At 52.0% G+C, this 26,866-nt stretch overlaps 1 protein-coding gene and 2 long non-coding RNA genes across 3 annotated transcripts, besides 7 other annotated features; 2 read left to right on the top strand and 1 right to left on the bottom strand.

The window, feature by feature from the left end:
• On the bottom strand, positions 578–19,391 carry MUC3A (mucin 3A, cell surface associated). Its single transcript, NM_005960.2, has 12 exons — positions 19,240–19,391; positions 8,280–17,084; positions 7,988–8,173; positions 5,659–5,774; positions 5,173–5,237; positions 4,082–4,230; positions 3,578–3,643; positions 3,059–3,221; positions 2,366–2,539; positions 2,182–2,273; positions 1,974–2,026; positions 578–1,804 (listed from the first exon to the last, which is right to left on the bottom strand). Exons 1-12 carry the CDS (start codon positions 19,298–19,300, stop codon positions 1,763–1,765), a joined length of 9,972 nt encoding a protein of 3,323 aa, NP_005951.1. The 5' UTR covers positions 19,301–19,391; the 3' UTR covers positions 578–1,762.
• Positions 2,341–2,550: a silencer, noted in NCBI's record as "silent region_18473". NCBI's record gives its function as "represses an Ori minimal core promoter by ATAC-STARR-seq in GM12878 lymphoblastoid cells {active_cell/tissue: GM12878}" and the evidence as "EXISTENCE:reporter gene assay evidence [ECO:0000049][PMID:35858748]".
• Positions 2,571–2,710: a silencer, noted in NCBI's record as "silent region_18472". NCBI's record gives its function as "represses an Ori minimal core promoter by ATAC-STARR-seq in GM12878 lymphoblastoid cells {active_cell/tissue: GM12878}" and the evidence as "EXISTENCE:reporter gene assay evidence [ECO:0000049][PMID:35858748]".
• Positions 4,118–5,096, top strand: LOC124900622 (uncharacterized). Its single transcript, XR_007060456.1, has 3 exons — positions 4,118–4,205; positions 4,659–4,822; positions 4,966–5,096. It is a non-coding gene; the product is annotated as an uncharacterized LOC124900622 (long non-coding RNA).
• LOC105375431 (uncharacterized) lies at positions 6,610–26,866 on the top strand. Its single transcript, XR_007060457.1, has 3 exons — positions 6,610–6,652; positions 22,174–22,358; positions 26,589–26,866. It is a non-coding gene; the product is annotated as an uncharacterized LOC105375431 (long non-coding RNA).
• Positions 9,451–9,951: an enhancer, noted in NCBI's record as "H3K27ac hESC enhancer chr7:100551103-100551603 (GRCh37/hg19 assembly coordinates)". NCBI's record gives its function as "activates a minimal SCP1, AML or CMV promoter by ChIP-STARR-seq in naive H9 embryonic stem cells {active_cell/tissue: H9 hESC(naive)}" and the evidence as "EXISTENCE:reporter gene assay evidence [ECO:0000049][PMID:30033119]".
• Positions 17,299–17,844: an enhancer, noted in NCBI's record as "NANOG-H3K4me1 hESC enhancer chr7:100548721-100549266 (GRCh37/hg19 assembly coordinates)". NCBI's record gives its function as "activates a minimal SCP1, AML or CMV promoter by ChIP-STARR-seq in naive H9 embryonic stem cells {active_cell/tissue: H9 hESC(naive)}" and the evidence as "EXISTENCE:reporter gene assay evidence [ECO:0000049][PMID:30033119]".
• Positions 17,895–18,873: an enhancer, noted in NCBI's record as "H3K4me1 hESC enhancer chr7:100547686-100548665 (GRCh37/hg19 assembly coordinates)". NCBI's record gives its function as "activates a minimal SCP1, AML or CMV promoter by ChIP-STARR-seq in primed H9 embryonic stem cells {active_cell/tissue: H9 hESC(primed)}" and the evidence as "EXISTENCE:reporter gene assay evidence [ECO:0000049][PMID:30033119]".
• Positions 18,874–19,852: an enhancer, noted in NCBI's record as "H3K4me1 hESC enhancer chr7:100546705-100547685 (GRCh37/hg19 assembly coordinates)". NCBI's record gives its function as "activates a minimal SCP1, AML or CMV promoter by ChIP-STARR-seq in primed H9 embryonic stem cells {active_cell/tissue: H9 hESC(primed)}" and the evidence as "EXISTENCE:reporter gene assay evidence [ECO:0000049][PMID:30033119]".
• Positions 24,775–25,324: an enhancer, noted in NCBI's record as "OCT4-NANOG-H3K27ac hESC enhancer chr7:100541229-100541778 (GRCh37/hg19 assembly coordinates)". NCBI's record gives its function as "activates a minimal SCP1, AML or CMV promoter by ChIP-STARR-seq in naive H9 embryonic stem cells {active_cell/tissue: H9 hESC(naive)}" and the evidence as "EXISTENCE:reporter gene assay evidence [ECO:0000049][PMID:30033119]".

The raw sequence follows: 26,866 nt of genomic DNA, 5'->3' as shown, positions 1-26,866 counted from the left end.
TGCCAAGCCAGCACCCAAAGACCCAAGGGGACACGTTATTTCTGATCACTCTCGACTCCTCAGGCAGGCCTGACTGCCCACAACAGCAGGAACAGAAGGGCCCGGTGCCAGCATAGACAGGCTCTGCTGTGTGAGTTTGCTATCAGGGTTTGGGGGCCTTGTGGGGGATCAAGATCTTTGGGGAGGCTCAGCTTTACCCATCCTTGCAAAAGGTGGCTGGACCAGGCAGCCCTAGCCCCTGGACCACCCAACTCCCTGAACCAACACCAGGGGTCTAATTGCTCCCTAAGCCCCCAGTATCAAGGTCAGGGCAGTGGTGGGGGTGGGGAGAGCACAGATGACAAAGCCCAAGGGGCCCCTGCCCAGAGTCACTCCCCAATAAAATGGGTCCCCCCAACCTCTGTGTTTTCTGTGAGGAACCTCATGGCCCCCAAGGGCTGCCCACAGACCCCCTCCTTTGTCCCCAGGAGACACAGGTGCTCCCAGGATCCTCCTACAGTGCCACCTCTGGAAATCCCTGTTCTCTGATCAAACAGAGACCACTGAGGGGGTGAAAAGGAGACAGACAGAGAGCTGCTGCTTTTTACAATAAACTCTGTATTGTGCACATGAAGACCTGGAGATGTGCCGACTTCCTGTCCCCAAAGCCAATCTTCCCCGCCAAGGCGACTGAGGATTTCAAGGGCTCAGAGTTACTGCAGGAATCCAGGTGACACCAGGAAGAGAAGGGGGAGGAGGGGAATCGGAGGGGATGGGTTTAAAAGGCAGAGGGGAGGCAAGAAGGGAGGGGGATCGAAGGAAATGAGGAGGAGGGAGACTGAGGGGGCTGCCTTTCCTTGGGGACTGGGGAACTCATGCCCTGCCCCCACCCGCAGGGCTCCAGGGGTGAGAGAAAGGGGTGGAGAATAAAGAATTGGGCAGCAGGGTGATGGGGGGAACAGCAGCTGGGGTATTTAGGTCAGGGGGAGTCGGGGGCAGAACCGATGAATGGACGGGCTCAGAAGGGAGAAGATACAAGGAATGAGAGCAAGAGAAACGGGGAACTGGGCAACGGGGTGACGGGGAGAACAGCACCTGGGTATCCTAAGACACAGAGGCTATCTATACCTTGCTAGGGACCAGGATGTGAGGAGAGGAGGGAGGATTTAGGGCTGGGGGACTGGGGTGCAGGATGGATGAAGGAACGGGGTCAAAAGGGGAGGACGTCTAAGGAATGAGAGCAAGAGATGCAGCAGGGAGTTAGATCAGGAGAGGGCAGGAGATGGGATGGGGCTGCAGGCTGCCTCCAGGTTCAAAGTAAGAAACAGGCAGTAGGGAATTGAGAGAAAATAAGAACCAGGGCCAGAGACCAGGTGAAGGACGTGAGGATTGGAGGATCCGAGAGAGGCAATGGCAACACGAGGGCTGAGACGGGAGGGCAGAGTAGGACCGAGAATTGACCAAGTCTATGTGGTTTTCACAACAACGGCGTGAGCTATCATACAGGAATGCTGTACCCGTTTTGCAGGTGAGGAAACTGAGGCTCGTTACTGACTTGCCCAAGATTCCACAGTGGAAGAGCCTGGACGTGAACTGCGTCTCCAGGTGGGTTTCAGCCAAGTTGGAAGGAGAAGGATGGGATTTGGGGGAACAGTCTCATCTTGCCCAAGAACAGCAGGAGCCTGGGCTGCCCGCGTCCTGGGGCCACCTCTTGAAATGGACGCAATGCAGACCCTTGTGTCCGGGGCAGGGCGGAGGGGGTGGTGAAGGGGCCCCGCAGGGCTCACACTGAGGACGAGGTCATCTCGGGTCTCTTGATGTGCACCTGTCAGAGTCACAGTGAGGGACGGGAACGCGGAGCCACTGGTTTGGGCTGACAGGGAGGTCACTGCTGATCCGAGCCCAGCCCCCTCCCTGCCCTGGTGGGGGTCGGGGAGGGATTCTGGAATGGAGGCTGGGAGAGTTCCTTGGGGTCCCCCTCTTTAGCCCCTCACCTTCATAGTGGTGTCCACGTTCTCCAAGGCCACATAGAAATTTGTATCCTTGTCTAGAGAGAGAGAGGAGCGGAGAAAGAGAAGGGGAGAGGGAGGGGACGGAAGGGAGAGGGGGACGGAGTAAATGCGAGGAAGGCAGGGAGGGCGTCTGTCCTCGCAGTGGTGCCCAGGAAAGCCTCTGCCTGCTTCCCCAGGAGGCAGGACTCACCTGTTCCGTCGTCCTCGAAACCCCAGTTTGAAAAAGTGCCCACGACTTCCTCATCCCAGGTCTCGAACCATTTCCTGTCCTGGTCCCAGGACCTAGGTGGGGCCGCCGCGCGGTCAGACAGAGCCGGCCCGCCTGGGACCCCTTGGCTGCCCTCGCCCCCCGGCCCCGCCCCCCGCACGCTCACCGGCCTCGGCGCTGGCCGCCCCACCATCCGGAGCGCACCGCCCGGACGCCCAGCGCCAGCAGCAGCAGCACCAGCAGCGCGGCGCCGGCCGTCAGGCCCCCGACCAGCGCCCTCCAGTGGACGGCCACCTCGCAGCGCGGGCCAGAGAACCAGTGCGTGTCGGTGGAGTAGCAGCTGCGGGAGATCGCAGGGTCAGACCCTCTTCACCTCCGGGCTCGGGGTCCACCCGTGCACCTGGGCCCCGCGGGGGCGGGTGAGGGGGCGGGGCTCCAGCCTAGGGCAGCGGGGGGTTCCACCCTAGACAAGGGGCTGGGAATCCACCCTAGAACGAGGGGCCGGGGCTCTACCCTAGGTGAGGGGGCGGGATTCCACCTTAGATCAAGTGGGCAGGGCTCCACCCTAGAAGGAGGGGGCGGGGTTCAACCCTAGAACGAGGAGGCGGGGCCCCACCCTAGAATGAGTGGGCGGGGTTCTCTCCCAGAATTAGGGGACAGGACTCAACCCCATCAAAGGAGCAGAGCTCCAGGGCAGGGCTCCACTGTAGGGCAACGGGGATGGGCTTGGAGCGGCACTCTGGGGACGAGGCTCCACTGTAGGCCCAGGGCGCGGAGCCGGGGCGGAGCATGGGGCAGGGCTTCATCCTAGAATGAGTGGGAGGGGCTCGGCTGATGCCGATGGTGAGCGGGGCCTTACCGACACGTGGGACCGCTCGTCTCCAGAACGCACTGGCCCTGGTGACAGTCGATGGCGTTGTCCACCCCCGACGTGCATTTGGTGACACAGCGGAGCCGGGTGGCCTCCACCAAGGGGAAGTAGAACTCTTCATAGCCCGTGGGAGCGGCGCGGCGGCAGATGGCTGGGGGTTGGGGAGGGGGATGCACAGAGACAAGGACCTCATCCATTCTATTCAGGGGCCTGATAACGGTGCCTCTGAATATGCGCGAGGAGGATTCCATTTCCGAGGTGGGATGCTGTGGGGTAGACCCTGGGATTCGATGAGGGGAGGCCACCCGCAGCACCCTCACCCTCTCCTCGTGGCCCCTGCTGTCCTCAGGTGGAAGCCACTAACCAGCGCCAGGAAGGGCCGCCCTGGGCCACATGACTTGCCTCCCCCAAAGGTCTCTCCCTGCCCACAGGCTTCAATGGGCAAATGTCCCTGGTAGCCCGGATCATAGCCGCGGGAGACCACTCAGCCCTTTACCCCACCCTTACCTGCCGGGGTCAGCTCTGTCTTGCTGTTGTTGTTCACCTTGATGGAGTCAGGCTTAAAACACAGGGCTGCGGAAACACAGGCACAGATGGAATGGGCGGGGCAGATCAAGGGGTTAAGGTCAAGGGGTTAGCGCCAGGAGGCAGGATAGGCACAGGGAGGGCAGTGAGGGCTCTCTCCGTCTGGGAGAGCCCTCTCCCAGACGGAGAGAGCCACAGGCGAAGACTCCTGTTGCCTGCCTCATCTCCCCTGAATAATCCGAGGTCTTCAGCCATCCGGGAAATGCTGACCATGACAATCAGGGGGTCTCTTTCCCAGTACCGAGGTCACGGGGAGACCCTCCCTAGCCCCACCCTTGACACCGTTGTGTGTGGACTTATTCCCCTTCTCCCAACCTGCCAGAGGTACCACAGGGCTGGCACCTGAGCCCAGTGGCCCCCTGGCTGAGCTGGAGTGGGCTGGGGTGACACCTCAGGCCCTGGCCCCTCCCTCCAGCCTGGGCTCACTCTGGGAGTCCTGGCAGCTGTTCACATCCTGGCTGGCGTTCTGCAGCCCCTCCTTCAGCGTGGTCTTCACCTGCTCATACTCGCTCTCCAGCTGGGGGCTGAAGGGCATCTCCAGCAGGACCAGGTAGTCCACCACGATGCTGCCATTCCTGAGGGGTCCACAGCCTTAGAGAGTGCCCCAGCCAGGAACATATGGGTCCTTGGAGGGGCACCTCCAGAAGCAACCCAAAGTGCACCAGAAGGGGGAAGGGAGCAGAGGTCATGAGTTGGGATGCCACGTGCATCCTTTTCAGAAGGGGCTGCCAGCATTCCTGACTTGGTCTGCCTGGGAAGGCAGGACAAGGAATGACTGACATGATTGACTTCCTCTCTCTGTGTGTTTTATAGAGACAAAGTCTTGCTGTCACCCAGGCTGGAGTGCAGTGGTATCATTGTAGCTCACTGCAGCCTCCAACTCCTGGGCTAAAGTGATCCTTTCTCCTCAGCCTCCCAAGTATCAGGGACTACAGGTGTGCACTACCATGCCTGGCTAATCATTTTATTATTATTATTATTATTACTATTTTTACTGTTGTAGGGATGGGTTCTCACTATGTTGCCCAGGCTGGTCTTGAACTGCTTTCAGGTGATCCACCCGCCTAGCCTACCCAAAGTGCTAGGATTGCAAGTGTGAGCCACCACATCTGGCCTGACGTTCTCTTCTTGTTGCATCAAGCCATCATCCACCGGGCGCCCCTAGACGTGCGTTCTCTCCCTCTCTCTCTTTCTCTCTCTCTCTTTCTAATGCTGACCCACTCAGTAGAGCAGGGGCCAGCCAGAGGGGGACAAAGTCATCAATCCAGGCACCACCTTCCCACATGTCCCTGCAACTTCTCTCCTTCCAGTGTGCTGAAGAAGAGAGGTGCCACCCCTCCTCCAGATAAATGGCCCCAGAAAACGATCCGAAAAAATACCCAGGGAGTGATTCCTTATGTACCCCCTCCACCCCTCTTTATAAAATCTGATGATTACAAAAGAAAGGAATGGGTTTTTTGTGTGCGCACATTTCCCCCACCCAACACCGCCTCCGCATCCCCAGATGGGTCTCCTACCTCAGGGACAGGATCTCCACACCCTTGAAGGTGAAGCCCTGCATGTCTGCAAAAATCTTCTGCATCTGAAACACCAAGGATCCCTGGGCTCACGTCCGAACCTGCAGACCTGAGGGGACCCAGACGCCCAACCCCAGCTCCAGGGAAGACCCTTCAATTCCCCTCCCCGGCCGGGTGCCGTGGCTCACGCCTGTAATCCCAACACTTTGGGAGGACGAGGCAGGTGGATCACAAAGTCAGTAGTTCGAGACCAGTCTGGCCAACATAGTGAAAACCCGTCTCTACTAAAAATACAAAACATTAGCCAGGTGTCATGGTGTGCACCTGTAATCCCAGCTACTTGGGAGGCTGAGGCAAGAGAATCATGTGAACCCGGGAGGCGGAGGTTGCAGTGACCCAAGATCGCACCATTGCACTCCAGCCAGGGTGAGAGTGCGAGACTACACCTCAAAAAAAAAAAAAAAATCCCCTCTCTTTGCCCTTTACCTGATTCCAGAAGGTCTTGTTGAAATCCCTGTAGGCCTGGGAAGTGTTGTCATTGAGGTCCGGCGAGAACTGCTGATCCACAGACACTTCCATGCCCACCTCGGTCTCCACTACATCTACACAGAGCATGCATGTCCCCAGTCACTTCTCTGTCTGCTTTTGTCTGAAGCCACCAACACCACCACCCCAACCCACAGGCTCCTCCTGCTGCTCCCCTCCAAGATCCCTGAGGACTGATGCCCAGAGGCAGGAACAGATGTAGGAATTCCAGGATGCATTATGCCTCAGGAGGCTGAGGCAGGAGAATCACTTGAACTCAGGAGGCGGAGGTTGTAGTGAGCCGAGATTGCATCACTGCACTCCAGCCTGGGCCACAGAGTGAGACTGTCTCTCAAGAAAATGAAAAAGAAAGATAGAGAGAGAGAGAGAAAAAGAAAGAAAGAAAGAAAGAAAGAGAGAGAGAGAGAGAAAGAAAGAAAGAGAAAGAAAGAAGGAAAGAAAGAAAGGGAGAAAGCATTGTGTGAAGATGAGGGAAAGAAGAAAAGAAAGGAAAGAAAAGAAAGAGAAAGAAAGAAAGAAAAAGAGAAAGAAAAAAAGAAAAGAGAAAGAGACAAAAGAAAAGAAGAAAAGAAAGAAGAGAGCGAGAGGAAGGAAGGAATTGTGTGGAGATGAGTGAAAGCAGGCAGAAAGATAGCGGTCAGCCTGTGGTCCCTCCTGGCTGCCCCCATAGTGGGAAGATGTCCATGTCCTAATCCCCAGAACTGTGACTATGCTATACTACATGGCAAGGGAGGATCAAGGGTGCAGATTGAATTAGATTGCTAATCAGCCTAACTTTTTTTTATTGTTGAGATAGGGTCTCATTCTGTCATCCAGGCTGAAGTGCAATAGGGGGATCATAGCTCACTGCAGCCTTGAACTCCCAGGCTCAAGTGATTCTCCCACCTCAGCCTTCCAAATAACTGGGACCACAGGCATGAGCCACCATGCCCAGGTAAGTTTTTTTTTTTTTTTTTTTTTTTTTTTTTTTTTTTTGAGACGGAGTCTCGCTCTGTCGCCCAGGCTGGAGTGCAGTGGCGGGATCTCGGCTCACTGCAAGCTCCGCCTCCCGGGTTCACGCCATTCTCCCGCCTCAGCCTCCCAAGTAGCTGGGACTACAGGCGCCCGCCACTACGCCCGGCTAATTTTTTGTATTTTTAGTAGAGACGGGGTTTCACCGTTTTAGCTGGGATGGTCTCGATCTCCTGACCTCGTGATCCGCCCGCCTCGGCCTCCCAAAGTGCTGGGATTACAGGCGTGAGGTAAGTTTTTAAAATTTTTTGTGGAGATGAGGGTCTCGCTGTGTTGCCCAGGCTGGTCCTGAACTCCTCGCCTCAAGCGATACTCCCTCCTCGGCCTTCCAAAGTGCAGGGATTATAAGACAATCAGCTGATTTTTTTTTTTCTTTTAAGACAGAGTCTCACTCTCCCTCTGTCATCTACGCTAGTGTGCAGTGGCGAAATCTCGCTTTACTGCAATATCCACCTCCTGGATTCAAGCGATTTTCCTGCCTCAGCCTCCTGAATAGTGAGGATTTAGGCATCTGCCACCATGCCCAACTAATAGTAGAGACAGTTTCACCATGTTGGCCAGGCTAGTCTCCAACTCCTGACCTCAGGTGATCCTACCCCCTCAGCCTCCCAAACTGCTGGGATTACAGGTGTGAGCCACCCCGCCCGGCGTAATCAGCTGATCTTGAGAAAATTAACATAGACTATTTGGGGAGGAGGCAAAGTTATCACAAGGGTCCTTAACAGTGGGAGAAGCAATTGAGGAGGCCAGAGTTCATTAGAGGGAGATGAGGCTATGGGAGAAAGACACAGAGAGATGCAGGCTTGCTGTGGGAGGCTCCAGAAGCTGCAAAGGGCAAAAAAATGGATTCTTCCCTGGAGCCGCTGAAAGACAACACAGCCCTGGTGACGCCTTGATTTCAGCCCAGTGACACCCACATCAGACTTCTAATCTACAGAATTCTAACATGATAATGTCGTGTTGTTCCAGCAGCCAGATTTGTGTTTGTTGGCCCGGCAGCAGTTGGAAACTGATACAGCTCCAAGCAGCCCAAGTCAGGAGATGGGCCCAGGAGGGAGGGTAGTCCCAGCCACCTCCTAAGGGTGAGGACGGAGAGGAGCATGACACAGGGCAGCGGAGGGCATGGGAGAGATGGCAGGGAGGGAAGGACCGGGCAAAAAGGCATGGGTGCCTCCAGGCCCCACAGAGGGATAAGTCTGGGGAGAGTCAGTGACACCCTGTGGGAGGAAGTGCAGAAGGCATAGCTCTGGCAACTCACCTAGATCCACCTGTTCCACAGCAAACTCACAACTGGAACCATAGAAGGTGCTGGGGCACTGGCATTTGAGGCCATCCCACTGACCCCCATTCTGGCATCTGGTCTGGAGCTGACAGCGGTCCCCAGAAAACCCCGGAAGGCAAGCACACTGGCCCTGTTCCCAGGTGCCACCATTGTCACAGGTGCCTGGAAAACACAGAAAGAAAGGGAAGCTCAGGATAAAGCCTGACCTCAGTGACACAGGAATTTTGCAGGGGAGGAAGGAGGGGAACAGAGAGGCAGAAGGTCCAACCTGCAGTGGTGGTCAACGTGGACTGTGTGGTCATCTGAGAAGTGATGCGAGTTGTCCTGCGTGATGTAAGGGTGGTAGGAGTCTGGGTAGTGGCCACTGGTGTCTCTGAAGTCCTAGTGGTGGGTGGGGAGGGGTGTGTTGACTTGCTTGAAGTCCTCAGGATGGTCGGGAGGCTACTGCTTGGTTTCATGGTGAGCGGGATGGTAGAGACGCCAGGAAGAGGTAGGGGGATCACAGAACTGTTGCTCAGCCAGGTCTCACTGGTGGGCAGTCGAGTACTTGTGAAAACTGTGTTTGTGGGTACAGTCCCAGTGCCAGTGGAACTGGAAGCATTGGGTGAGATGCTGGACTCACTTTCTGGCATCATGGAAGAAGTGTCCATATATGTAGTAAGAGTAGTTTGGATACTGATGGAGGTAGGACAGGTGACCATTTCGGTAGTAAAGGGAAAGACTGTTAATGGGGTGGTGGGAGGAGAAGTAGCTTCAGTGCTGGGATCCATTTCAACACATGGATCAGTGGGGGAGGCAGGGACTATGGTAATTGTTATAGTTCCTGGACAGGGTGTGGTGGAGGGAAGGGAAATATAAGAAAAGGGGGTTATTTCAGTGAGAGCTGTGGTCAGAGAGGAGCTGGTTGAAGAAGTGCTGGTAGTTGCAGAGGAAGAGAGACTAGGAAAGCCTGTGATAGAAGCGGAGCCCACATTTTCTGTACTGAAAATGTATGGTGAAGAAGGAACAGAATGAATGGTAGTGGAAAACACTGGAGTTATGCTGGCAGAAGATGGAGAAGAGGACATGATAATAGTGGGTGTTGAGGACCAGATGATGGTACTAAAAGAAGTCAAGATTGCATTTGTAGACGTACTTCCCCTAGTGAAAGATTCTGTAGTGAACTCACTTGTAGATGTGAGTGAAGTTTGCAATGAGGGAGTAGAAGGAGTTGTTTGAAGGGTGGAGGAATGTGTGCTAGGAATAGGAACCTGTGATGTTGACACGATCGTGCTCAAGGCTGTTGATGGAGTAAGAGTATGAAGAGTGGACGTGGAGGAATCCGTACTTCCAAAGGTGACAGTAGTAGGTGCAGGAGATGTTTGGGTCCCAGTGGCTGACGTCAGTACAGGAGGGGTCTGTGTTGGGGTTTCAGGTATAACAACAATACTTGTGCTAAAGGAACTGATTGGGGTGTTCTCAGTAATTCTGAGGGTCATTCTCACAGTGGACATGGTGGGAGAGGTGGTGCCCACAAGGGATGAGGTTTCTGTACTTTGGATGGAGGGAGAAGATGAAATGATGTGTGTTCGAGTTGGTAAGGTACTGATATCAGTGGGTATAGAGGGAAAGTCTGTGGTTGTAGTCAATGAAGTGCTGGTGCCCACAGACGAAGGGGTGAGAGTTCGTAGGCTTGTGGTCGGGATGTCTGTACTCAGAGAAGATGGGGTTACAGGTGTGGGAGTCACCGCAGTCTCTGAGGTAGTAAAATGTGAGGTGATGGCAGTTGTGGATGTGCTGACTGTGGAGTAGATGGTTGAAGAACTGAGGCTGGGAGTACTCTCTGAGGTGGTCTCAGTGGTGGTGATTGAAGAAGTGAAGCCAGGAGTACTGTGTGAGGTAGTCTCAGTGGTGGTGATTGAAGAAGTGAGGCCAGGAGTAATGTGTGAGGTGGTCTTGGTGGTGGTGACCCACGAAGTGAGGCCAGGAGTACTGTGTAAGGGGGTCTCAGTGGTGGTGATTGAAGAACTGAAGCTGGGAGTACTGTGTGAGGTGGTCTCGGTGGTGGTGATCGAAGAAGTGAAGCTGGTAGTACTGTGAGAGTTGGTCTCGGTGGTGGTGATCGAAGAAGTGAAGCTGCGAGTATTGTGTGAGGTGGTCTCGGTGGTGGTGATCGAAGAAGTGAAGCTGTGAGCACTGTGTGAGGTGGTCTCCGTGGTGGTGATCGAAGAAGTGAAGCTGGGAGTACTGTGTGAGGTGGTCTTGGTGGTGGTGATTAAAGAAGTGGAGCTGGGAGTACTGTGTGAGGGGGTCTCACTGGTGGTGATTGAAGAAGTGAAGCTGGGAGTATCATGTGAGGTGGTCTCAGTGGTGGTGATCGAAGAAGTGAAGCTGGGAGTACTGTGGGATGTAGTCTCAGTGGTGGTGATTGAAGAAGTGAAGCCGGGAGTACTGTGGGATGTGGTCTCAGTGGTGGTGATCGAAGAACTGAAGCTGGGAGTACTGCTTGAGGGGGTCTCGGTGGTGGTGATTGAGGTAATGTAGCTGGGAGTACTGTGTGAGGTGGTCTCAGTGATGGTATTTGAAGAAGTGAAGCTGGGAGTACTGTAGGATGTGGTCTCGGTGGTCCCCCACCTGTGTGAGGTGGTCTCCGTGGTGGTGATCAAAGAAGTGAAGCTGGGAGTACTGTGGGATGTGGTCTCGGTGGTGGTGATTGAAGAAGTGAAGTTGGGAGTACTGTGTGTGGCGTTCTCAGTGGTGGTGATCGAAGAAGTGAAGCTGGGAGTACTGTGTGAGGGCATCTCAGAGGTGGTGATTGAGGAAGTGAAGCTGGGAGTACTGTGTGAGGTGGTCTCAGTGGTGGTGATTGAAGAAGTGAAGCTGAGAGTACTGTGTGAGGGGGTCTCGGTGGTGGTGATTGAGGTAGTGTAGCTGAGAGTACTGTGTGAGGTGATCTCGGTGATGGTGATCAATGAAGTGAAGCTGGGAGTACTGTGGGATGTGGTCTCGGTGGTGATCGAAGAAGTGAAGCTGGGAGTACTATGGGATGTGGTCTCGGTGGTTGTGATCGAAGAAGTCAAGCTGGGAGTATTGTGGGATGTGGTCTCAGTGGTGGTGATGGAAGAAGTGAAGCTGGGAGTACTGTGTGAGGTGGTGGTGGTTGTGGTGATCAAAGAAGTGTAGCTGGGAGTACTGTGTGAGGTGGTCTTGGTGGTGGTGATTGAAGAAGTGAGGCTGGGAGTATTGTGGGATGTGGTCTCGGTGGTGGTGATCGAAGAAGTGAAGCTGGGAGAGCTGTGTGAGGTGGTCTTGGTATTGGTGATTGAAGAAGTGAATCTGGGAGTACTGTGTGAGGGGGTCTCGGTAGTGGTGATTGAAGAAGTGAATCTGGGAGTACTGTGTGAGGGGGTCTCGGTGGTTGCGATTGAAGAAGTGAAGCTAGGAGTACTGTGTGAGGTGATCTTGGTGGTCGTGGTTACCAAGTTTGTTGTTGGAACTGTGGCTGTTACTGTGGTGAGGAGAGAGGAAGAGGTGGGTCGAAGAGAGGTCACAGTGGACAATGTACCTGTCATATTGGTGGAATAGGTGGTTCTGGTCGTGGAATCTGTGAGAGCACTAGTAAGAGAAGTAGGGTAGGTGGTCTCAGATGTAGGTGTAGAACTGGTGTCGGAATTGGAGAATGTGGTCACCAATGTAGATAGAGGGGTGGTGTTTGTGGTACCACTGGTGATCGCTTCTGTACTTGGGACAGGCGTAGAAGATGAAACGCTACTGGTAAATGATGGTAACGTATTAGTGGCTGTGGGCCCTAGAGGGGTGGTAGTTGTCATCGAAGTCACCGTATATGTGGAGGTGATTGAAGAAGTGATGGGGGGAGTAGAACTCACGGCTGTTTTGAAAGATCCTGTGGAAATGTCAGAGGTAGGAGTCAGTGTGGTGGTCTTAGGGGATGTGGCTGTTGAACTGGTGAATGTAGTCTGACCTGTGCCTGTAGTTGCTACAGTGGATGAAGGTGTTTCCATCTTTGTAAATGTTGTGAATGACATGGTGGTTGTAGGTGATGGGGTGGATTCAGCTGTTGTGTGGAGTGTACTGGTGATGGCTGGGGGTGAGGAGATACTCTGGGTGTGAGTGGTCCCTACACTGCTGGCAGACATGGAAGAGGAAAATGAATGTGTCACTGGAAAGCTTGTCAGGAGGGACCTTGTTGGAGTGTTCTCAGTACTTGTGAAAGTTGGTCCTCCACTGGGAGTGGTAGCAGACATCATGCTAACAAAGATTGAGGTTTCTGTATTCTGGACAGTGGGAGATGAAGGAATGACACTTGTTGGCCTTGCAGACATGCTGGAGACTGTGTACACTGAGGTGAGGTCTGTCATCATAGGTAATGAACCACTGATGCCCACGGATGAGGGAGTAATAGTTGTTGGTTGTGAGGTAGGGATACCTGTACTCACAGTAGATGGGATCATGGATGTAGAAGTCACCATGGTACCCAAGGTAGTGGGAACTGAGGTGATGGCAGTGGTGGGTGTGCTGGCTGTGGAGTAGATGGTTGAAGAAGTGAAGCTGGTGGTACTATGTGAGGTGGTCTTGGTGGTGGTGGTTACCAAGTTTGTGGTAGGAGTTTTGGCTGTTTCTGCGGTTGAGACCAAGGAAGAGGTGGGTGGAAGAGAGGTGGCAGTAGATGATGTCTCTGTCATAGTGGTGGGATAGGTGATTTCAGTTGTGGACTCTGTGACAGTGCTTGTGGGAGAACTAGGGTAGGCGGTCTCAGATGTAAGTGTAGACCTGGTGATGGTAATGGGGAGTGTAGTCACCAACGTGGATACAGGATTGGTGTTTGTGGTATGACTGGTGGTCACCTCTGTGCTTGGGACAGGTGTAGAAGATAAAATGCTACTGGTGAGTGGTGATAACGTATTAGTGGCTGTGGGCCAAGAGGTCGTAGTTCTCATAGAAGTCATTGTATCGGTGGGAGTGATTGAAGAAGTGATGGGGGGAGTAGAAGTCATGGCTGTTGTGAGAGATTCTGTAGAAAAGTCAGTTGTAGGAGTCAGTGTGGTGGTCTCAAGGAATGTGGCTGTAGAGCTGGGGAAGGTGGTCTGACCTGTGCCTGTAGTCGCTACAGTGGTTGAAGGTGGTTCCATCGTTGGGGATGTGGTGAATGAGGTGGTGGTAGTGGGTGCCAGGGCGGATTCAGCTGTTGTGTGGATTGTATTGGTGCTGGCTGGAAGTGAGGAAATAGTCTCTGTGTGAGTGGTCCCTGCACTGCTGGCAGACATGGAAGATGAAAATGAATATGTACTTGGGAAGGTCGTCAGGAGGGAACTTGTTAGAGTGCTGTCAGTACTTGTGATAGTTGGTCTCAAACTGGGAGTGGTGGCAGAGGTCATGCTGACAAGGGATGAGGTTTCTGTATTCTGGATGCTGGGGGAAGATGGAATGACACTTGTGGACATTGCTGAGGAACTGGAAACAGTGAATGTTGATGTGAGGTCTGTTGCTGTAGTCAGGAAACCGGTAGAGCCCACAGAAGGGTAGGTGATAGTTGTTGGTGTTGTGGAAGGGGTGTCTGTACTCAGAGAAGATGGGGTCATGGTTGTGGAAGTTACCATGGTACCTGAGGTAGGGGAAGCTGAGGAGATGGCAGTTGTGGATGTGCTGACTGTGGAGTAGATGGTTGAAGAAGTGAAGCTGGGGGTACTAAGGGAGGTGGTATTAGGGGTGGTGGTTATCAAGGTTGTGGTAGGAGTCATCGTGGCTGTTTCTGTGGTTGGGAGAGAGGAAGAGGTGGGTGGGAGAGTAGTGGCAGTGGACAATGTACCTGTTATACTTGTGGAATAGGTGATTTCAGTCGTGGAGTCTGAGACAATGCTGGTGGGAGAAGTAGGGTAGGTGGTCTCAGATGTAGGTGTAGATCTGGTGATGGTAGTGAGGAGTGTAGTCACCAAGGTGGATAGAGGGGTGGTGTTTGTGGTATGACTGGTGATCATTTCTGTGCTTGGGACAGGTGTAGAAGATAAAATGCTACTGGTGAGTGGTGATAATGTATTAGTGGCTGTGGGCCAATAGGTTGTAGTTCTCATAGAAGTCATTGTATTGGTGGGAGTGATTGAAGAACTGACGGGGGGAGGAGAAGTCATGGCTGTTGTGAGAGATACTGTAGAAATGTCAGTTGTAGGAGTCAGTGTAGTGGTCTCAGGGAATGTGGCTGTAGAGCTGGGAAAGGTGGTCTGACCTCTGCCTGTAGTTGATACAGTGGATGAAGGTGGTTCCATCATTGTGGATGTGGTAAATGAGGTGGTGGTAGTGGGTGATGGGGTGGATTCAACTGTTGTGTGGAGTGTACTGGTGGTGCCTCGAGGTGAGGAGATACTCTCTGTGTGAGTGGTCCCAGCACTACTTTCAGACATAGAAGAAGAGAATGAATGTGTCATTGGAAAGCTTGTCAGGAGGGACCTTGTTGGAGTGTTCTCAGTACTTGTGAAAGTTGGTCCTCCACTGGGAGTGGTAGCAGACGTCATGCTAACAGAGATTGAGATTTCTGTATTCTGGACAGTGGGAGATGAGGGAATGACAGTTGTTGGCCTTGCAGACATGTTAGAGACTGTGTACACTGAGGTGAGGTCTGTCATCATAGGTAATGAACCACTGATGCCCACGGATGAGGGAGTGATGGTTGTTGGTTGTGAGGTAGGGATACCTGTACTCACAGTAGATGAGATCATGGATGTAGAAGTTACCATGGTACCCAACGTAGTGGGAACTGAGGTGATGGCAGTTGTGTATGTGCTGGCTGTGGAGTAGACGGTTGAAGAAGTGAAGCTGGTGGTACTATGTGAGGTGGTCTTGGTGGTGGTGGTTACCAAGTTTGTGGTAGGAGTTTTGGCTGTTTTTGCAGTTGAGACCAAGGGAGAGGTGGGTGGAAGAGAGGTGGCAGTGGATGATGTCTCTGTCATAGTGGTGGGATAGGTGATTTCCGTCGTGGAGTTTGTACCAGGACCAGTCGGAGAATTAGGATAGGTGGTCTCAGATGTAGTCATAGATGAAGCATTTGGAGTGGGGAGTGTGGTCACCAAGATAGATGGAGGGATTGTGTTTATGGTGCCACTGGTGACTACTTCTGTGCTTGGGACAGGTGTAGAAGACAGAGGCATACTGGTCAGTGATGTAAAAGAATTGGTGGTTGTGGGAGGAGAGGTCGTAGTTGTCATAGAAGTCACTGTATTTGTGGAAGTGACTGATGAAGTGATGGGAGGAGAAGTCATGGCTGTTGTGAGAGATTCTGTGGACATGTCAGTTGTAGGAGTCGGTGTGGTGGTCTCAGGAAATGTGGCTGTAGAGCTGGTGAAGGTGGTCTGACCTGTTCCTGTAGTTGCTGCAGTGGTTGAAGGTGGTTCCATAGTTGTGGAAGTTGTGAATGAGGTGGTGGTAGTGGGTGCCAGGGTGGATTCAGCTGTTGTGTGGAGTGTACTGGTGCTGGCTGGAGGTGAGGAGATACTCTCTGTGTGAGTGGTCCCAGCACTGCTGGCAGACATGGAAGATGAAAATGAATATGTTGCTGGGAAGGTCGTCAGGAGGGAACTTGTAGGAGTGCTGAGTGTACTTACAAAAGTTGGTCTCACATTGGGAGTAGTGGCAGAGGTCATGCTGACAAGGGATGAGGTTTCTGTATTCTGAATGCTGGGGGAAGATGGAATGACACTCGTGGACATTGCTGAGGAACTGGAAACCGTGAATGTTGATGTGAGGTCTGTTGCTGTAGTCAGGAAACCGGTAGAGCCCACAGAATGGTGGGTGATAGTTGTTGGTGTTGTGAAAGGGATGTCTGTACTCAGAGAAGATGGGGTCATGGTTGTGGAAGTCACCATAGTACCTGAGGTAGGGGGAAGTGAGGAGATGGCAGTTGTGGATGTGCTGACTGTGGAGTAGATGGTTGATGAAGAGAAGCTGGGAGTACTGTGGGAGGAGATCTCAGTGGTGGTGGTTACCAAGTTTGTCATAGGAGTCGTGGCTGTTTCTGTGGTTGGGAGAGAGGAAGAGGTGGGTGGGAGAGAAGTCTCTGTGGACAATGTACCTGTCATACTTGTGGAGTAGGCGATTTTGGTAGTGGAGTCTGTGACAGTGCTGGTGGGAGAAGTAGTGTAGGTGGTCTCAGATGTAGGTGTAGACCTGCTGATGGTAGTGGGGAGTGTGGTCACCAAGGTGGATAGGGGGGTGGTGTTTGTGATACCACTGGTGATTGTTTCTGTGCTCAGGACAGGTGTGGAAGATAAAATGGTCCTAGTGGGTGATGACAATGTATTAGTGGCTGTGGGCTGGGAGGCGGTCGTTGTCATAGAAGTCACTGTATTTGTGGAAGTGATTGAAGAAGTGATGGGGGAAGTGGAAGTCACTGCTGTTTTGAGAGTAGTAAATACTGGGGTTGGGGACGTGGTTGTATGGATGCTTCCAGTGGGCAGGGGAGTCCTTTCTGTGGTTCTAGTTGTAGACGAGATTGTAGTGTGGAAGGTTGTGTCTGTGGCTGACACAGAGGAGGGTGTCACTGTCACTATGGGAGTTTCCCTTGCAGTGGTGGTAGAGGGAGAAGATGTCATGGCTGACGTTCCTTTCTCAGTAGTGGTCATAGAGTAAGTACTGGTGACGGTGGTCACTGGCTTCTGTGTCACGGGAGTCGAGGTGTAAGAGCTGGTGAAGGCCACCTGCGTCGTGGTCACACAGATGGAGGTGGGGTGGGAGATGGTGATTATAAAGCTCGTTGGATACACGCACTCAGTGGTGGCTGAATAGACCAACACGGTGGGTGGAGTGGTTTCAACCTTGAAGGCAAACTTGGACGTCGGGGTGGTTGAGGTGTTGGAACTGACTGGAGAGTTGAGCAATGTTTCAGAGATGAGTGTGTCATGGGGGGAGGTAGTGAGTGTCATAGGTGCATTTTCCCTGTGGCCAGGAGCAGGAGAGGCGAGCTGGGGGACACCAAGTGGCCACCCAGCCAGGTCTCTGGAGTGTGGAGAATTGCTGAGCACAGCGCTGGCTGCTTCTGCTCTGGGGAAAGGCACTTGAGAGATGGATGTGGCCGTGGATAAAGTTCCTGCATTGGCGGCAGAGCAGAGGAATCCACTGGTAAATCCGTGGGTCATTTTGTTACATCACTCATGTAAGCTACTCACTCACCCATTTTCCAGGCAGCATCACAGAGGGCAGGGCATATTACAGCTGACTCCTGCATCAGAGGCAGCTTGGAGCTGGGTGCTTTGTGGTGCTGGAGACGACTGCCTGTCTGCTCCTAGGGGAGCAGTGGGGCATGGGAGCCCTCATTCCTCACCGGGCCTTGGCCTTGTCATGGCAGGTCCTCCTGTCCTGATATAGCCGAGCTGGGCAGAGCCTCCCTCCCCTCCCTTCCCTCCTCTGGTCACACCCAGGCTCCTCCTCCCTCTGCCCCTTCCTCTCCTCCCCCTGCTACTGCCTGGAGTGCTCCCATCCCCCCATTAACCTTCTGCTCCCACCACTGCTTCTCCCGGCACCCTGCTGCTGTCTGGGCTGACTCCGCTTTCAAAGAGAAAAAGAGAGAACCCAGCCATGTCCTGGCAGGGGGCGCATCACAAAAACCAGGAGACAGGGAAAGCTGAACAAAGAGGGCCAGGCACGGTGGCTCATGCCTGTAATCCCAGCACTTTGAAAGGCCAAGGCAGGAGATCACTTGAGGTCAGGAGTTCGAGACCAGTCTGACCAACATGGTGAAACCCTTTCTCTACTAAAACAAAATACAAAAATTAGCCAGGCGTAGTGGCGTGTACCTGTAGCTGAGGCAGGAGAATCGCTTGAACCCAGGAAGCAGAGGCTGCAGTGAGCTGAGATGGTGCCACTGCACTCCAGCCTGGGTGACAGAGCAAGACTCCATCAAAAACAAAAACAAAAACAAAAACAAAAAACTGCCCAGAGAACACCAAAGAGAAACAGGCTAAGCTCACACACTAATGACTTCAAAGGGCATGGAGTGAGGACTAGGTGAAGAGGCAGAGAGACAGCATAGAAAAGGAAACTTCCAGAAGGAGCTACCTCAGCAGTCAGGCGTGATGAGTTCTGGAGACCTTAAGGCTTAGCAGTGAGTGTTCATCACACAAATAGACATATTTTTCTATACTATTCCCTTTTGGCCGTGGGATTCATTAGTTTACAAGCATGAACCCCAGCATGTGGATTTCAACCCATTTCACAATTTGTCAGAGTTAGGATCAGAGATCCGGCTGTCGGGGGTGTCAGGGACAAGGAAGACAGGCAGCCACAGCAGATGGGAAGTGGGAGGTACCCGACCTGCTACCCCTCACCTCGGGCACAGCCCATCTTGTGGCTGAGAGCTGGGGTGTCACGTCTCAACCTAGCTCGTGGGTGCCAGGGAAGTGGGGTCAGGGATTATGAGAATCCCCAGGCTACAGCCCTTGGCTCCAGGATGTGGCCCTGGAGGTGACTGAGAAGGGGACTCATGGGCCTGTAGGCTGGGTGGCCTGGGATCGGGGATCAGAAGCAGACACTGAAGTACAGAGAAAAGAGAAGTATAGAGGAATTGCGAGGTGTTCCTGCAGGGCAGAAGAGAGAAGCCTGGGACCCCACGACGGGTAGTCTCAGACGCACCCTTGGAAGCGAAGTGGACATCAGGAGCTCCCTGCCCCGGCCCTGGTACCAACAGCTGTACCCAGACACATGGGCCCTGGCCGGGGTAAGAGAGTGACGGCAGAGCTGGGGAGGAGCCGCCGGGGGACAAAAGGCAGAGAGGCTGAAACCAGAGGACCGAGACCAGGGGTAGAAGTTAGAGGGCTGTCAGGGAGGGAGAGGCCAGTGTGAAGGGGACACTCAAGCTGGGGGCGTGAGGCAGGTGACAGAAGGAGTCAAGACAGGAAGGGCACTGCTCTGGGAAGACGTAAATCCCACCCTCTACCCTCCAGCTGCAGATACAGATTGGGGCTCAGCCGCTGCAACCTGCTCAGTGCTTGGTGGAGAGTGGCAGAGACCCAGCTCCCTCACTCTTTCCCAACCTCGGTTTTCCCTGCACCTGGAGCTCTGGAAGAAACCTCTCCTCACCGCCCCCTCCCCCAGTCAGGCCGTGCCTCGGTTCTCCCTGCACCCAGAGCCCCAAGCGGTGCCTTCTTATCCCCCCTCCCCAGGCCTTACAGCCACTTTTCCCTCCCCTTTCCTGGAACATCACATCAGGAGCTTTTCTCCAACCCCCTTCCGCCTCTCCCCCTTACCTGTGGCCCACGGGGAGGCCTTGAGCATCCAGAGGAGGCCGAGGAGCCCCAACAGCTGCATGGGCCCAGCGGGCAGGGGGCTGGGGCAGAACAGGCTTCAGGACCAAGACAGCGGCAGGGACGTGGCCCTGGGGCGTGCACGTAATGAAAGTGCTGGTTATCGGTTTTGCTGAGCGTCAGGGCTGAGCACAGCCTCACCTTTGCACCGCCCCACCTCTCCCCTCTTCCTCCCTTCTCCCTGCACCCGGACAGACAGACGTCAGCGCTGTGGGAAGCGGGACACGGGGGAAAAAGATAGGACAAGTCCAGGAAGTGTCAGGCAGGAAGAGCTGCTATTGGCTCAGCCCCACAGCCTGCCTGGCCCACATGGAACTGCCTGGAAGCTGCCCTTCCTCCCCGACACCCGTGGAGGGTACCCTTGACCGAGGGCTTGGACTCTGGAGTCTGGTCCTACTCCTGCAGCCTCTCCTGAGTTTCAATTCCTCCTGCTGGGGAGACAGTGGCACCTCGCTCTCCTTCAAGCCCCTTCTGTCCCTCAGTCTGCCCCTGCTCCATCCTGTCCCCCGCAGGACCCCATAGGCCAGAAAAAACCGTGGGAGTAATTAACACAGAATTCCATCTGAAGTCATTTTATTATCTGAAGAGTTGGGGCTAGGTCCCAGAAAAGGAAACATGGATGACCAAAGGAAACACTCAAAAATACTAGTCTGGGCCCGGCGCGGTGGCTCACGCCTGTATTCCCAGCACTTTGCAAGGCTGAGGGGTGTGGATCACTTGAGGTCACGAGTTCGAGACCAGCCTGGGCAAAATGGCAAAACCCCATCTCTACTAATAGGCTGAGGCAGAAAAATCGCTTGAAACCAGAAGGTGGAGGGTGCAGTGAGCCAAGAGCACACCACTACACTCCAGCCTGAGCAACAGAGCGAGACTCCATCTCAAAAAAAAAAAAAAAAAAAAAAAACTGGTTTGGACCCAGCACATTGTTTGACCTATCCAGTTTGGGCAAAGGTGTGAAGAATAAACGTTCTTACCCAGCTGGTGGATGTGTAGGTGGGTTGGGTTGTTTTAAAAGAGTAATTTGAGGATCACTTGAGGTCAGGGGTTCGAGACTAGACTGGCCAACATAGTGAAACCCCATCTCTACTAAAAATACAAAAATTAGCCTGGCGTGGGGTGGGCACCTGTAATCCCACCTACTTGGGAGGCTGAGGCAGGAGAATTGCTTGAACCCCAGAGGCAGAGGTTGCAATGAGCTGAGATCGTGCCTCTGCACTCCAGCCTGGGCAACAGAGCGACACTTCATTTCAAAAACAAGATAAAGTAAAACAAATGTTCTTATCCAGCTGGTGGGTGTGTAGGTGGGTTGGGTTGCTTTAAAGGGGTAATTTGGTGGCATCTATTAAAATTTTAAATGAGTGCCTTAGGACCCAGCAATTTCACCCTCCATCTCTGTGTCCAAGAAACCCTTCAAGGCAGCATTCATGAGGATGTTTATTGACTCTCGATTATGGCAATTTTGATGGAAATTGGAAACAGCCCAAACGATTGTTTCAACCCAGAAAGAAGATGGAATAGTCACCCTACAGAACACTGTGCTCAGGCCAGATTCAGTGGCTTACGCCTGTAATTCCAGCACTTTGGGAGGCCGGGGCAGGAGGATCTCTTGAGCCCAAATGTTCCAGGCCAGCCTGGGCAACATGCCAAGACCCCATCTCTACCAAAAAAAAAAAAAAAACACAAAAAAAATTAGCCAGGCATAGTGGTGTGCCCCTGTGGTCTCAGCTACTTGGTAGGCCAAGATGGGAGGATCACCTGAGCCCAGGAGGTCAAGGCTCCAAAGAGTCATGATCGAGCCACTGCACTCCAGCCTAGGTGACAAAGCAAAAACCTGTCTCAAAAAAAAAAAATTATGAATATAAAATTAGGTCAGGGCCAGGCACAGTGGCTCACATCTGTCATCCCAGCACTTTGGGAGGCCGAGGTGGGCGGATCACTTGATGTCAGGAGTTTGAGACAAGCCTGACCAACATGGCGAAACCCCGTCTCTACTAAAAATACAAAGATTAGCCGGGCATGATAGTGCACTCCTGTAATCCCAGCTACTCAGGAGGCTGAGGCAGGAGAATTGCTTGAACCCAGGGGGTGAGGGTTGTAGTAAGCCAAGATCCCGCCACTGCACTCTGGCCTAGGTGACAGAGTGAGACTCCGTCTCAAAAAAAAATTATAAAATAAAATTAGGTCAGACCAGGCACAGTAGCTCACACCTGTAATCCCAACACTTTGGGAGATCAAGGCGGGATAATCACTTGAGGCTAGGAGCTCAAGACCACCCTGGGCAATATAGCGAGACCCATCTCTACAAAAAAAAAAAAAAGATAAAAAGAAAAATAGATCTAAATAGGTCTGACCATCCCTAAGGGAAGAAGCTTTGCGGAGAGAAACTGCAGCTCTTCCTCTTCCCAGCAGGCCCAAGGGACAGGATTGCAAAGGCAGCCAGCGAACTCTCTGAGGCCAGGCCCGCTGGGAGATCTTCGTGAGGGGCTGTGCCTCTCATGTCTCCTGGGGGACCTTGTCCTTATCGAGAGTCACTGAAGGGACCCTAAATAAGAGGCGCTGTGCATACCCACCAAGTGACACTGCCTGCGCATCGGTTGTGCAAATGGCTGCACCAAAATCCAGGGGACACATTGTATAGCCCTGGCCTCAGTGTGTGTGGTCAAGTTGAGGAAGTGAGCAAAGAAATGAAAAGCTAAAGAGTCCAAATGAGGTGGAGCTCAGAGCCCGACAATGACACCACTGGGGGTAACTCAGGGGAGGGGCCAACAGGGAGCAGGGCTACTCTTGGGGTCTTCCACTTCAATTTCTTAATACATTTGATCAAGTTGCCCAGCATGAAGATACTCGTTTGCAAAAAGTTTTGTTGTTGTTTTTCAGAGCAGTCTCTGTGGAAACTGCTGAGCCACATGGTCAAGCACCACAGCCAGCCAAGACGCTGCAAACCAAGCTGGAGGTTTCGGGGGTTTCCAGTCTTTTTTTTTTTTTTTTTTAAGTATCAAACACCATAAAATTCCCATCACTGTTCTGGAGACACAGACGTAAATGGAAAATGGATTCCTGTTGTAAGTAAAGATCACCAGGCTCCTGGGGAGATGGATCCCAGATCTACCCCCATCCACCACCCCTTCTGTCCATCACCTCTCTAATACCCACACCCCCTTCTGCTCCAGCCACCAGACCCCCAACCTCAGCCTCTGCTCCACTCCAGGCCCTTGCCTGAGCCATTCCTACACCTGCAGTGCCCTCCTGCTCCTCCGCTTTCTCTCACCTGTGAAAATCCCACCTTTCCTTTACAGTTCTACACCTTCCTCACCTCCTCCAGGAAGTCATGTGCAATCAGGAAGTGACCTTTTCCAGTCCTGGAATTTTTTTTGTTTTTTGTTTTTTTTGAGGTGGAGTCTCACTCCGTCGTCCAGGCTGAAGTGCAATGGAGTGATCCCGGCTCACTGCAACCTCTGCCTATGGGTTCAGGAGAGTCTCCTGCCTCAACCTCCCAAGTAGCAGGGGTTACAGGCATATGTGCCACCATACCTGGCTAATTTTTTTGTGTATTTTTAGTAAAGATGGGGTTTCACCATATTGGCCAGGCTGGTCTCAAACTCCTGCCCTCCAGTAATCCTCCCACCTTGGCCTCCCAAAGTGCTGTGATTACAGGTGTGAGCCACCACATCTGGCCCACTCCTGAAATTAATGGTGCTCATTACTGAAATCTCTCCCATGATGCAAACTTACTATCTCCTAGCTGGGAGCACAGTCATTTGAACGCCTGCCCAGAAGGGAGAGGGAAAGGTGACATCTTTGCATTCTGAATGGGGACAAGTGGCCACTTTCCCTGCAGAGCCTGGGTAGGAGCCCCGCCCCACTCAGGGAGGTGATGGATGAGCTAAGACTGCAGGAATCCTCTGTCTGCGGTTTGAGAATGCCCCATGCCCACATTGGGGTCCAGCTTTCGTGGGGAAGCTGGAGAAGATGGAAGAGAAAAGAGTGTTCTATTGGGGTTGGGAGACATGGCTGTAATGTCAGATGCTGCTGACTGTAGGCTGCCCACACACAACTGAGACTGGGAGCTGGCTCCAGAAATTAATCAGATTCCAGCCAGAGCTCAAGACAGGCAAGAGGATTGCTGGGGAGAAGGAAGGAGCAGAGCTGTGGGAAGACTATGCTGACGATGGCAGTGTCGGCCCAATCATCAGTGACACTTGCCATCGGGTCCCTTCCTAGTGACACTGAAATGGAATGCACAGGAAGTCAGTGGGGGGCACTGGTCTCCCTCCAAGGTCACTTTTGTCACAGGTACCTGGGGGAAGACGTGAATCCAGAAACGTACAGGCCGGGACCAGCCCCCAAATATCAAGGATTAGGGAGGGACATGTTGAAACTAGGGCTATGGGCTGGACACAGTAGCTCACGCCTGTAATTCCAGTACTTTGGGAGGTCTAGCTGGACAGATCACCTGAGGTCAGGAGTGTGAGACCAGCCTGGCCAACATAGAGAAACCCCGTCTCTACTAAAAATACAAAAATTAGCTGAACAGGGTGACGCACCTGTGTAGTCCCAGTTACTAGGGAGGCTCTGGGACAAGAATCGCTTGAACCCAGGAGGTGGAGGCTGCAGTGAGCCAAGATCATGCCACTGCACTCCAGCCTGGGCAACAGAATGAGACTGTCTCAAAAAAAAAAAAAAGGAAACTAGGGCTGGGGAATAGGTCAGTCTTTCTCCCAGGAGGAGTGAGTGAGGCAGGAGGAGGTTGGGAAGGTTGGCCACTGTGTGATTATGTGAATTGCAGCTACAGTTGTCCCGATAATATCAGCTGATGGGAGTCCAGGGACCCACAAGAGTTGTCTCTGAAGTCATGGTGGCTAGGGTAGGGGGAATCAGCTTGCTTGATGGGTAGATGACAAGCTGATACTTGGCTTTAAGAGTAAAGTTCCTCGGCTGGGAGAAGTGGCTTACGCCTATAATCCCAGCACTTTGGGAGGCCGAGGTGGGTAGATCACCTGAGGTCAGGAGTTCGAGACCAGCCTGACCAACATGGTGAACCCTATCTCTACTAAAATATAAAAATTAGCCAGGCGTGGTGGCAGGCGCCTGTAATCTCAGCTACTCAGGAGGCTGAGGCAGGAGAATCACTTGAACCCAGGAGGTAGAGGTTGCATTGAGCCAAGATCATGCCACTGTGCTCCAACCTGTACAAGACGGAGCAAAACTCCATCTCAAAAAAAAAAAAAGCAAAAAAGGGTAAAGTCTCTCAAAGCCAGCGAGTTTGGTGTAGCAGTCAGAAAGTGTCAGGTTATGCTGCAGTAACAAACAGTCCTAAAGGCTATATGGCTTACAACAGCAAAGGTGTATTTCTTGCTCATGCCGCTTGCCCATTTCAATGTCTGTGCTCTCATCCATGCCATGTTCACTCTGGGACCTGGGCTGGCCAAACCACCCCCGTCTGGGACATTGCCAGTCTCATGGTGGTAGAGGGTGACAGATGGCAAAACCACCAGCTGGCTCTTGAAGCTTCTTTCCAGAGACGATGTGCGTCCCTTCCACCCAAATTTTATTGGCCAAAGCAAGTCACAAGGTCGCCCTGGATATAAAATACTATCAGAGAGAGGCACTGCCAGTCAGACATCAAGCGTGATATCAGCGAGACAGGGAGGTATGATCTACCCAAGGGAGAGAAAGCAAATATTTTCAACAATAACACAATCTACCACAGCTGGGATCCCAGCAGGGGTATGGTTTATGCAAATCAAGATCCCATCAAGCAGGATCAGACCCCTGGTGGGGCCTTGTGTGCCACACAAAGAGATCTCGCCACTGCACTCCAGCCCAGGTGGGCGACAGAGTGAGACTGTGTCTCAAAAAATAAAAATAAATAAAATTTAAAAACCACCTAAAAATTCCAAAGGAAAATTTAGGAGACTATATGTATAATTTGGGAGCTGAGGAGACTATTTTAATCAAAACAAGAAAGCTGAAAGCTGTAAAAATAAAATTACACATATCCTACTACATTAAAAAGTAACATTTTGTGGGGGAAAGTTATCAAAACAATACAAAGTAGTGGCAGAATTGTTTGCAATCTGAATGACAGACAAAGGGTTAATATATGTAATATACAAACAGCATTTACAAATGTATATTTTAAAAACACACTGTTCAACCTGATATTCATGGACATTGTATATTAAATGCCTCTTAAGATACTTTCAGGATCACAGTATAATTTTATTGGGTTTTGGAGTCCTATAGTATGTTTATGATACTGGAATCATAGGCAAAATGTTTTTCAATAAATTTTTTCAAACTTCTGTTTTCGGCCAAGCATGGTGGCTCACGTCTGTAATTCCAGCACTTTGGGAGGCCGAGATGGGTGGATCACTTGAAGTCAGGAGTTCAAGACCAGCCTGGTCAATATGGCGAAACCCCCGTCTCTACTAAAAATACAAGAATTAGCCAGGTATGGGGGGTGCACGCCTGTAATCCCAGCTACTTGGTAGGCTAAGGCAGGATAATCCCTTGAACCCTAGAGGCAGAAGCTGCAGTGAGCCCAGATCGTGCCACTGCACTCCAGCCTGGGCAACAGAGTGAGACTCCATCCCAAAAAAAGAAAAAATCTCATGTTTTCATGTGAAGTTTGTTCCATGTGAAGTTTATTTTTCTTCAATCAGTTTCTCTCTTTCCTTCTCTTTCTGTCCTTCCTTGCCTGTTTCATGCGAGCATCATTATTCCTAAGATAAAATCAAATGCTTAATTCACACTTGCACAAAATCTCCAGAAACCTAAGGTCACACAGGGACATTTCAGAAAGCAGCCAGTACTATTTTTCACGTTCTTTTTGGCAGTTTCATTTATGGCCGCTGCTTTAATGCAGTTTTGAAGAATTCATCACACCCTTTATGATTGAATGCAAACACCCAAGCTTGAGAAGAGAAGGAAGAGAGGGAGAGAGCAAGAGCCTGCCAGTTTCTGTTTGCAATATGCTATCGTTTCTGATTCTAAGGAGGAAAAATAACCTCATAAATTTAAATATGGAACATATCCTCTTAGAAAGAATGCTCACATTAAGAGTAATAAATGTCAACATTTATGGATTTATGGGGTTTTAAAAACAACTCAAAGCTTGTGCAAACATTTCTCATATGGTCATTGTTTTCCGAGGATTGCGTAAACGGAAGCCCAGGTCAGCTTGAGGATTTTTCTGGAGGTTCAGCGAAGTCATATCAAATCAGGGAAATGGGATCTTGCCTTTCTCTGATTAATTTAATTTCTTCTGTCTCCTCTTGTCTTCTTCCTAGAGTCTGGTGCATCTGAAAGTTCTGTGAACACTAGCCTGCCACATTCAGTGGATCTGGAGGCAACTATCGCCCTCCTATAAATACCAAGGGTGCCACTGGCCTGCTCCTTACACCAGACAGTAAACAGTCACCAAGAGCCTGATTGAAGCTTTGGGACAAAACAATGAAACCAAAAGATGGATTTGCTGAGTAGCGGAGACCGTAAACTGCTACTCTCAGTTTATTTATTTATTTATTTTTAATTTTTTTTTTTTTTTGAGATGGAGTCTCACTCTGCC

Source organism: Homo sapiens, chromosome 7, assembly GCF_000001405.40.
Source record: "Homo sapiens chromosome 7, GRCh38.p14 Primary Assembly".
NCBI lineage: Eukaryota > Metazoa > Chordata > Mammalia > Primates > Hominidae > Homo > Homo sapiens.
This window is presented reverse-complemented; position numbering and strand designations above follow the sequence as displayed.